General features: G+C 41.2%; 2 annotated features.

The window, feature by feature from the left end:
- Positions 4,516–5,123: an enhancer, noted in NCBI's record as "OCT4-NANOG-H3K27ac hESC enhancer chr7:9393157-9393764 (GRCh37/hg19 assembly coordinates)". NCBI's record gives its function as "activates a minimal SCP1, AML or CMV promoter by ChIP-STARR-seq in naive and primed H9 embryonic stem cells {active_cell/tissue: H9 hESC(naive and primed)}" and the evidence as "EXISTENCE:reporter gene assay evidence [ECO:0000049][PMID:30033119]".
- Positions 6,274–6,775: an enhancer, noted in NCBI's record as "H3K27ac hESC enhancer chr7:9394915-9395416 (GRCh37/hg19 assembly coordinates)". NCBI's record gives its function as "activates a minimal SCP1, AML or CMV promoter by ChIP-STARR-seq in primed H9 embryonic stem cells {active_cell/tissue: H9 hESC(primed)}" and the evidence as "EXISTENCE:reporter gene assay evidence [ECO:0000049][PMID:30033119]".

The raw sequence follows: 11,724 nt of genomic DNA on the forward strand, positions 1-11,724 counted from the left end.
GTAAAATCAAATTGACAGAGGTGACTTATTTGCAGTATCACTAAGAACTATAGGGTACCTAGAGAAAGCTAACAAAAAAGTACAGCCCTATATAAAGTTTTATAGACTTTACTGAAAAATATAAAAGAAAACCTAATACATGGAAAGACATCTTGTGTTCCTGGATAGGGTGTGTTTTAATGATACAGATACTTTGTCAAATTACATAAATAAACTGAAGTTTCTATCTCTGCCTTTTATTGCATCAAAAGGAAACATCCAAGTAGAATTTAATTAAATGTGGATGTCAAGCTTCGGACCACTTTATCAAAAATATAAGCATGTACAGACAGAGGGACCATTAGAGAGTTATCCCAACAAGGCAGATGAATTAGAGGTGAAAGATGCTATTCTAATAGCAAATTGAGTGAGAAATGCCATATATGTATCTTGACAAAATGGATAAAGAAAAAACATAGTGATTACAAATGTGTACTCTATTTCCTATATAGACAACTTTATGTGATCTACTCCAGTGTTAATATCCAGGTTAATAATTGTGGGAACAATGCCCATATTAAACATCCAGATAATCTACATATTTTATATAATCCCAATAAAAACATTTTTCAGAAATTTTAGAGAAATCAGCAGTACCATTTGCTGAATAACAATGCTTCTTTTTGTCTGACATGTCCTAACTGAGTCTCTGAGTTTCTCTTCTTCCAAACCAAAGTGCTTCACATGGTCTCATTTTCTCCAGGTGTTATCAGCTCTTGTATCTTGCATGCTGTTTGCAATTCTTCCCGACATTTCAGACATTTTTTGGTCCTGCTCCAGGCCACTTTCATGAAGCCATGTGGAATGGCAGAATAAGAGGGCAGGGTCCCACTCCTGGAGCACAGATCCATAGTGCATGTGGCTGTGTTCAGGCCCAGGTGCCTTTCTGCAGGATTCTGCTTGCAAAATTTCCCAGTAACACCAGAATGCCGCTAGAGTGGCAAATCCCTGAATCCCTACAGAGTTTAATGCCGAGCAAAGGAAAAAGTGTGATTCCTTCCTAGGAGGTATAATACATTATTTCTGGAACATTAAGAAACCCAAACTTCGGAAGTAGGCAAACAAATGGAAAAATGAACAACCTTTCTTTTTTTATTCCCAGATATGGGCAGGACGGTTAATGCATTCCCCTGGTGAAAGGCTTATGATTGATGATCTCTCATTATGGGAAGATAAGTAGAATTATTTTCTGAATGATTCAAGAAGTTGTCTCCAGGCTTGTAGCAACAGTGACTCTCTTCTTTCGCCACATACCCAGTGAGAGGATTGGCAAGGTCTAGGTGTTCATGCCCTCCAGATGCTATCACTACTGTTGTCTGGCTGCATGGTAGGTTTTGACTCCCCTAAATAGCTAAGCAGCCACCTTATCCACAGCCACTGTCACAAGAAAGGCCATGAAAATGGAAAGCAGAGGGCAAGTTTCTTTACTGGAGCAGAAAACTGCAGTGTGTCCAACTGCATGAAACCTCAAGCACACCTCTCCACAGATACTCAAACACAGGGGGGCTTTATGTTTCATCTTTCTGATACTGCTTGAAAAGTTTCCTTAATATGTTGAGTTTCTTTTATACCACAAGACATTTTAGTGTTTGCCTTTGCTCAAGAGTCTGTAACACTTTATTCTAAAATTTATCCTGAGAATATGTTAATTTTCCATTACAACAAATTTAGTGGCTTAAGCCAACACAAATTTGTTATCTCATAGTTTCTTTAGGTGAGAAATTTGGGTATAGCTTAGTTATAGCTTGGTAGAGTTCTCTGCTTCACATCTTACAAGGCCAAAGTTAGTGTTTACTGGGCTGCATTCTTATCTGGAGGCTTGCCTGAGGAAGACTTGTACTCCAAGATCATTCATGTTGTAAGCGAAATTTATCCCCATGGCAGTTTTCTAGCTGAGTGTTAGTCAGGGAGTGCTCTTATCTCCTGAAGGATGCCCATAGTGCCTTGCCACCTGGCCCTCTCCCAGGTCCTTACGTAACATAGCAGCTTATCTCTTCAAAGCCAGCAAGTAAGTTTTTCAATCTGGTCAACTGAGATGGAGTCTTATAAATAAGAATGTGATCATGGGAGTGACATCCCATGACATTTTCCATATTCTATTTGGTAAAGCAAATCACAACTTTCACCCTCACTCAAGTTCCACTCTCATTCAAGTGGACGGGGTTATATGAGGTCATGACTTATCAGGGGATCACCTTGTATGTGTCTGTCAGAGAGGTAAAGATGAACAAATTGCTTATGCATTTTTGAAAAAAGAACCAATAAAGGTAACTTGTTCTACTAGATGTCAAAATATGCCATAGAATTTTATCAGTCTACTGTCATATATAAGCAGAAATATAAGAAAAAAGAATAGAGTAGAATCAAGAGACTACAAATTATATATGTGTTGGTATATAGAACTTGGTATATAATAGTATTGAAAAAATTACCATTTATTAAAAAAATTGGAATAATAGCATATTTCAGTGGGAAATAGAGAAAGTAAAGCTTATCTTACATGCAAAAATATGTTAATCTTTGTAGTAAAATGAATAATGCTGATTCAAAAATAAAAATATTTATTTAAGAATAAATTTTCAGAATCAAATGTTTAGCAGCTTACTGTTGCTTGCCATCACTGTGTAAATATTTCCATGTGTACCTATGTTTCATTTTCACTCCTGATTTTTCAATCTGAGCATTCACATCTAGTCCATGCAGAGGACTTTGTCCAGAATACACAGAAGAATATACTTCATTATACCATGTCCTTTGATAAAGAGTTTCTTATTGAACTGGGCATTAATTTGTGGACTACTTTATTTCTACTTTTCTTATATCTTGATTCACTTAAATCTAGTTACTTCTTTCCTACTTCATGACACTGAATTATATGAATTATTTGAATTTTTTTACATAAAATTTTCAATATTCAAGGGAGTTATTAGAATACAAAGCACTGGGAAATAAAGCTGTTTCATAAAGTATTTTTAATACATTGTGGAATTAATCCTAGAAAGAACCAGTCACTCAGTTGATAATCTCATGAACTTCTATTTTCTGCTCTTATCATCGATTCTTTATGAGTGCAATTTATTTTCAAAATAACTATTAAACTCTAATTAAACTATAATTTACCCAACTATAAAGCTCAATAGAATAGCTATCTTTTCCTTTGAAAACACTGGATTTTATAATAATATTCAGTGGAATATACTTCCTACATAAGATCTAGAAAATCTTACTGAGTGTCCTTGAAACAAAGGTATTCTATATTGTGAGAAATACAATATTTCTCACTAGTTTCATGAGGTCACTAAACACTTATTAGTTCCACTGATCACTGTCACTCGGTCAAGCTAATATGAGCCCATGCTTTCCCCCTACAACTCATACACATCCATACTCATTCACTCTCATACACAACTCTGCACTTACACACAGAATCATACACATACAAGCCCTCACAGATGTACACAAAGATTCTCATTGCATTTTGAATTTAGTTGAAAGGGAAACAAAGACATGAAAAATTCTAAGGTAAGGATAGTCTTTATAACTAAAATCCTAACTCTCTAACAGAAGAAATCTAGTTTTGTAAAGGGTACATAAGCAATGAGGTTACAATATTTTAAAAAATACACTAGCTTCGTCTCTGAACATCCCATTATCTATTCGTCTTTTAAACTTCTCGAATTGAAAATAAAGGAAAACAAAGCCACCAAGGGTAAAACCTTACTTGTCATCCATAGACTATACAAATTAGACACAAAAAAATCATTTCAGAAATATCAGAGCTCTCAGAAGTGTTTCATTACAAAAAATATTTATTTGGAAATCAGCAGTGAATTAAATAAATCGTCCTCTCCTGTCACATTGATGAAGGAATTGCATGCTCTGTTTTCATGACAAACACATCATTAGTGTACATACATTTAATCTGATTATTTCATTCAGCACAAGAGACATTACCGTTAGAATTATATAAAAACTCAAATCACACTTGATGTTTCCCAAATATCATGCTTTGTGTGGCCTAATCAAGATTTCATCAAATGTTTTACTAAGCTCTGTCACAGGAATCCAGCTGAAGCAAGATGATCCCTTATTATTAAGCAAAAATAAATTGCATTCATTTTTCCTCTGAATTTAAATGAAACGGTGTATACAATACTTGGGAAATACACAGAGGTCACATGCAATACCACCAACATGCTGCAATACATTGATGTAGCAGGGTAGCTAGAAGAACTGAGGATGTATAAAAATGGGAGGTTAGCAAAAGAAACAGAAGTATTGTGTAAACATCTGCATAACACTAACATGAGAATTTTTGTATTTTTGAATTTTGAGAATTTTTGGATACATACTTTCATGCACGTCCGTGTGAAGAGACCAACAAACAGGCTTTGTGTGAGTAACATGGCTGTTTATTTCACCTGGGTGCAGGCGGGCTGAGTCTGAAAAGAGAGTCAGCGAAGGGAGATAAGGGTGGGGCCGTTTTATATGATTTGGGTAGGTAAAGGAAAATTACAGTCAAAGAGGGTTTGTTCTCTGGCGGGCAGGAGTGGGGGTCACAAGGTGCCCAGTGGAGGTGCTTTTTGAGCCAGGATGAGCCAGGAAAAGGACTTTCACAAGGTAATGTCATCACTTAAGGCAAGGACCGGCCATTTACACTTCTTTTGTGGTGGAATGTCATCAGTTAAGGTGGGGCAGGGCATATTCACTTCTTTTGTGATTCTTCAGTTACTTCAGGCCATCTGGGTGTATACGTGCAAGTTACAGGGGATGCGATGGCTTAGCTTGGGCTCAGAGGCCTGACATTCCTAACTTCTTATATTAATAAGAAAAATAAAACAAAATAGTGTTGAAGTGTTGGGGCAACGAAAATTTTTGGGGGTTGGTATGGAGAGAGAACAGGCAATGTTTCTCAGGACTGCTTCAAGCAGGATTAGGGGCAGCATGGGAACCTAGAGTGGGAGAGATTAAGCCAAAGGCAGGTCTTTTGGTAAGGGGTGATATTGTGGGGATGTTAGAAGAAACATTTGTCGTATAGAATGATTGGTGATGGCCTGGATATGGTTTTGGATGAATTGAGAAACTAAATGGAATAACAGAAGGAGAAAAACAGGTATAAAAGGGCTAAGAAGTGGGACGACTCAGGATATCTGATTAGAGAGTGCCTAAGGAGATTCAGCATAGTCCTGCCAGCAAAGATTATTTATTTACTTCAAGAGTTAAGAGTGGCAGTTTGGGGATAGCACCAGGAGATACCAATTGTGATGGCTTGGAAAAACAGTGTAAACCGGCAGTGTAAACAAGAGCAGGGCATGTGTGAGTAGTTGAGAACGGTGAATAGGAGTATGACTAGACAGAAGACGGTAGGGATGACAAGTCTTTTTGGGGCACAGTCTAAGTTGGTCTGGTGTCTGGAATGAGACTGGGGCCTAATAAAATGGAGCGTCTATACAGGAGCTTAAATGGGCTGTACCTTGCAGCATTCTGAGGACAGGTCTGACTTCTGAGAACGGAAAGTGGTAAAAGTATTGTCCAGTCCTTTTTAAGTTGGTGGCAGAGCTTGGTGAGGTGTGTTTTTAAAAGACCTTTAGTCCATTCTACTTTTCTTGAAGATGGAGGACCGTAAGGGATATAAAGGTTTCGTGAATACTAACAGCCTGAAAAACTGCTTGGCTGATTTGACTAATAAAGGCTGGTCTGTTATCAGACTGTATTGAGGTGGGAAGTCTAAACTGAGGAATTATGTCTGACAGAAGGGAAGAAATGACTGCGGTGGCCTTCTCAGACCCTGTAGGAAAGGCCTGTACCTATCCAGCGAAAGTATCTACCTAGACTAAGAGGTATTTTAGTTATCTGACTCAGGGCATGTTGAGTAAAGCTAATTTGCCAGTCCTGGGTGGGGCAAATCCTCAAGCTTGATGTGTAGGGAAGGGAGGGGGCCTGAATAATCCCTGAGGGGTAGTAGAATAGCAGATGAAACACTGAGAAGTTATTTCCTTGAGGATAGATTTCAACGATGGAAAGGAAATGAGAGGTTCTAAGAGGCGGGCTAGTGGCTTGTGCTATAGCATAACCTGCCTTTGCTGGTGCATGGCGATTAGGCCTGGTGGAACCACCATCAGTAAATCAAGCGTGATCAGGGTGAGGAACAGGGAAGAAGGAAATTTGGGGAAATGGGGTGAATGTCCGGTGGATCAGAGAGATACAGTCATGGGTGTCAGGTGTGGTATCAGGAATAATGTGGGAGGCCGGATTGAAGTCCGGGCCAGGAACAACGGTAATTGTGGGAGACTCAACAAAGAGTGAGTACAGCTGAAGGAGCCGAGAAGCAGAAAGTATATGCATCAGGTATGAGGAAGAAAATAGATTTTGGAAGTTATGAGAACTGTAGAGAGTGAGTTGAGCATAGTTTGTGATTTTGAGGGCCTCTAAAAGTATTAAAGCAGCGGCAGCCGCTGCACGCAGACATGAGGGCTAGGCTAAAACAGTAAGGTCAAGTTGTTTGGACAGAAAGCCTACAGGGTGCGGTCCTGGCTCTTGTGTAAGAATTCTGACCGCGCTAACCATGCCCAGGAAGGAAAGGAGTTGTTGTTTTGTAGAAGGTGCTGGGGTTTGAGAGATCAGTGGGACACGATTGGCAGGGAGAGCACGTGTGTTTTTATGAGAATTATGCCGAGATAGGTAACAGATGAGGAAGAAATTTGGGCTTGATTGAAGTAATGGGGGCTGTCTGTGAAGCCTTGCGGCAGTACAGCCCAGGTAATTTGCTGAGCCTGATGGGTGTCAGGGTCAGTCCAAGTGAAAGCGAAGAGAGGCTGGGATTAAGGGTGCAAAGGAATAGTAAAGAAAGCATGTTTGAGATCCAGAACAGAATAATGGGTTGTAGAGGCAGGTATTGAGGATAGGAGAGTATATGGGTCTGGCACCATGGGGTGGATAGGCAAAACAATTTGGTTGATAAGGCGCAGATCCTGAACTAACTTGTAAGGCTTGTCTGGTTTTAGGACAGGTAAAATGGGGGAATTGTAAGGAGAGTTTATAGGCTTTAAAAGGCCATGCTGTAGCAGGCAAGTGATAACAGGCTTTAATTTTTTTAAAGCATGCTGTGGGATGGGATATTGGTGTTGACCGGGTAAAGGTGATTAGGTTTTAATGAGATGGTAAGGGGTGCATGATCGGTCACCAAGGAGGGAGTAGAGGTATCTTATACTTGTGGGTTAAGGTGGGGGGATACAAGAGGAGGACGCAAAGGAGGCTTTGGATTGGGAAGAACGGCAGCAATGAGATATAGCTGTAGTCCAGGAATAGTCAGGGAAGCAGATAATTTAAAGTATCTCAGCCTAATAAGGGAACTGGGCAGGTGGAGATAACTAAAAAGTAGTGCTTAAAAGAGTATTGTCTAATTTGGCACCAGAGTTGGGGAGTTTTAAGAGGTTTAGAAGCCTGGCCATCAATACCCACAACAGTTATGGAGGCAAGGGAAACAGGCCCTTGAAAAGAAGGTAATGTGGAGTGGGTAGCCTCCGTATTGATTAAGAAGGGGACGGGCTTACCTTCCACTGTGAGAGTTACCTGAACCTTGGCATCCGTGATGTTCTAGGGGACTTCCGAGGCGATCGGGCAGTGTCAGTCTTCAGCCGCTAAGCCGAGAAGATCTGGGAAGAAGTCAATCAGAGAGCCTTGGGCCGGAGTTCCAGGGGCTCTGGGAGTGGCTGCCAGTGAGTTGAACAGTCCGATTTTCAGTGGGGTCCCGCACAGATGGAACGCGGCTTAGGAGGAATCCCGGGCTGCAGGCATTCCTTGGCCTAGTGGCCAGATTTCCGGCATGTGTAGCAAGCTCCTGGGGGAGGAGGTTCTGGAGGAATGCCTGGCTGCTGCGGTTCAGGCGTTTGGAAGTTCTTCTGTGCTGGAGATGTGGCTGGGGTTTGTCTCACAGTGGAGGCAAGGAATTGCAACTTTTTTCTATTACTGTACACCTTGAAGGTGAGGTTAATTAAGTCCTGTTGTGGGGTTTGAGGGCCAGATTCCAATTTTTGGAGTTTTATTTAATGTCGGGAGCAGATTGGCTAATAAAATGTATATTGAGAATAAGACGGCCTTTTGACCTTTTAGGGTCTAGGGCTGTAAAGCGTCTCAGGGTTACTGCCAAATGAGCCATGAACTGGGCTGGATTTTTATATTTGATGAAAAAGAGCCTAAATGCTATCTGATTTGGGATAAAGAAAAAGGAGCGTTAACCTTGACTGTGCCTTTAGCTCCAGCCACCTTTTTAAGAATAAGTTGCTGGGCAGGTGGGGAAGGGCTAGTCATGGAACGAAACTGTAAGCCAGACTGGGTGTGAGGAGGGGAGTTGATAAAAGGATTATAGGGTGGAGGAGTGGAGGCTGAGGAAGAATTGGGACCTAGCTTGGCCTGGTGAGGAGGGGAGAGGTCAGATGGGTCTGTAGAAAAGGAAGATTAGAAAGACTCAGTGACACTTGGGGTTGGGACTGAGGGGACAGGCGGGAGGGAAAGAAGGAAGATTTGGGATGAATTGCACTGGGCACAGAGACTAGGAAGGGACTGATGTGTAAAAGAATGCCTGGACGTCAGGCATCTCAGACCATTTGCCTATTTTACGACAAGAATTATTTAGATCTTGCAGGATGGAAAAACTCAAAGTGCCATTTTCTGCTGTTTGGAACTACTGTTGAGTTTGTATTGGGGTCAAGCGGCACTGCAGAAGAAAATAAGTCATTTAGGTTTTAGGTCAGGTGTGAGTTGAAGAGGTTTTAAATTTTTGAGAACACAGGCCAAGGGAGTAGAAGGAGGAATGGAGGGTGGAAGGTTGCCCATAGTGAAGGAAGCAAGCCTAGAGAAAAGAGAGAGTAGAGAAATGGAGGGAAGGGGTTCGGGGGTTCTTACCTTCCAAAAAAGTGGGAAAAGGGGTTGGGGCGCAGAGATAAGAGGTTGGGGTGTGGAAATAAGGGATGGGGTGCAGAAATAAGGGGTCGGGGCACAGAAATAAGGGGTTGGGGCACAGAAATAAGGGGTCAGGGCACGGAAATAAGGGATTGGGGTGCAGAGATAAGAGGTCGGGGTGTGGAAATAAGGGATTGGGGTGCAGAGATATAAGAGGTTGGGGCACAGAAATAAGGGATTGGGGCGCAGAGATACAAGGTTGGGGTACTTGCCCCTCCTCTAGAAAAGTGGGACATGCCGCTAAGAGTGAAGGAGAAGGGGTTGAGTGGTACTTGCCCCTTCCCCAGAAAAGCAGGACTTGCCGCTAAGGGTGAAGGACCAAGGCAGGCGTCCCTGCATGGTCTGACACCTTTGAAACGTGGGTGAATAATCAGAGAGGCGTCCCTGCAATGATTAAACACCAAGGGAAGACTGCCTTCCCAGTCCGTGACCGGCGCCGGAGTTTTGGGTCCACGGATAAAACGTGTCTCCTTTGTCTCTCCCAGAAAATGAAAGGAATTGAAATTAAGAGAAGGGAGAGATTGAAGAGTGGAAAGGAGAAAGTGGTTGAGGGACAGTGAGAGAAGTTGGAGAAGAGAGTAAGAAGAGGCCGCTTCCCTGATTTAAAATTGAAGAGATGTTCTTTGGGCTGGTCGGTCTGAGGACCTGAGGTCGTAGGTGGATCTTTCTCACGGAGCAAAGAACAGGAGGACAGGGTATTGATCTCCCAAGGGAGGTCCCCCGATCCAAGTCACGGCACCAAATTTCATGCGTGTCCGTGTGAAGAGACCACCAAACAGACTTTGTGTGAGTAACATGGCTGTTTATTTCACCTGGGTGCAGGCGGGCTGAGTCTGAAAAGAGAGTCAGCGAAGGGAAATAAGGGTGGGGCCATTTTATAGGATTTGGGTAGGTAAAGGAAAATTACAGTCAAAGAGGGTTTGTTCTCTGGCGGGCAGGAGTGGGGGTCACAAGGTGCTCAGTGGGGGTGCTTTTTGAGCCAGGATGAGCTAGGAAAAGGACTTTCACAAGGTAATGTCATCACTTAAGGCAAGGACCGGCCATTTACACTTCTTTTGTGGTGGAATGTCATCAGTTAAGGTGGGGCAGGGCATATTCACTTCTTTGGTGATTCTTCAGTTACTTCAGGCCATCTGAGTGTATACGTGAAAGTCACAGGGGATGCGATGGCTTGGCTTGGGCTCAGAGGCCTGACACATACAGTTTTGATTTTATCACATTTCTGCTACAATTGCAAAATAAAGAAACTAGTGGGCCAGTCAATTATCAGTAAAAAATAGGTATTTGATTTTTAAAGGCAAATTGAACTAATTTTTATGATGTGAAACGGCTTGAAAGTGGAAAAATATTATTTTAATATCAAAATATATTATAATTAGGTCAAACAGATAATATGTTAACAAAATAATTCTGAACTCTAGAGGATGATCAGAATTGAAGGGAAGGTCTCTACAAAGTCCTGTAAGTCAGAATTATGGATAAACTTGCAACCCAATTAAGTTGGGACAGTCTCATTTTATTCCTAGTGTCCTGATGTTATTATTAATAGCACTCCCTTTTACTCTCTAAGTATTCTTTTTTAGCTGATAATAAATTATATAGCCACTATATTCTCAATCATAATTAGTAAAGATAAGCCAAAGGAGTGTACCTTCAACTGGCCATGAGAGCAATAGGTCTTCACTATCTTGCCTCAAGATTATGTCACCTCCCCTCTCTTCCTCATATCCCAGAGCAAATACAAATGCTTGATATCCCAGAAAATTATGTAATTCCCTTAAATGGATAGAATTATGCTAACTACTTCTGATGAGTAAGAAGTTGTATGTCCCTAGATGCTTTTATAAGAAGTACAAATGCTATATGGAGAGACATAAGCACCAATAGCAAACTCATAACCTGCCACGTTGGTGGTATCTTGGAATTCAGTTGTCTAGGAAATGTTGAGATATTCCTTGTGATATGAAATACAAGTTTCTGCACCTTCATTCTATCATCGTGAAAAATAATTACACAATCTTAGTATGCCTCTTTGGATGTTGGAGGTAATATTTGTCACATTTGAGGATGAATTTCTTTTTTTTAAAGAGAAAAGCAAGCCATTTATTTTTTTTTCTTTATTTCTTCTTAAAAGAAAAGGATACATGTGCAGAACGTGCAGGTTTGTTACACAGATATACGTGTGCCATGGTGGTTTGCTACACCTATTGACCTATTCTCTAAGTTCTCTCTCATCAACCCTCACCCACCAACAGGTCCTGGTGTGTGCTGTTCCCCTCCCTGTGTCCATGTGTTCTCAATGTTCAACTCCCACTTATGAGTGAGAACATGCGGTCTTTGGTTTTCTGTTCCTTTGTTAGTTTGCTGGGGATGATGGCTTCCAGCTTCATCCATGTACTTGCAAAAGACATGATGTCATTGTTTTTATGGCTGCATAGTATTCCATGGTGTATATGGGCCAAATTTTGTTTATCCAGTCTATCATTGGTGGGCATTTCGGTTGGTTCCATGTCTTTGATGTTGTAAATAGTGCTGCAATAAACATACGTGTGCATGTGTCTTTATAGTAGAATGATTTATATTCCTTTGGATATATATCCAGTAATGGGATTGCTGGGTCATATGGTATTTCTGGTTCTAGATCCTTGAGGTATCGCCACTCTGTCTTCCACAATGATTGAACCAATTTACATTCCCGCCAACTGTGTAAAAGAGTTCTTGAGG

This window comes from Homo sapiens, chromosome 7, assembly GCF_000001405.40.
Source record: "Homo sapiens chromosome 7, GRCh38.p14 Primary Assembly".
Lineage (NCBI taxonomy): Eukaryota > Metazoa > Chordata > Mammalia > Primates > Hominidae > Homo > Homo sapiens.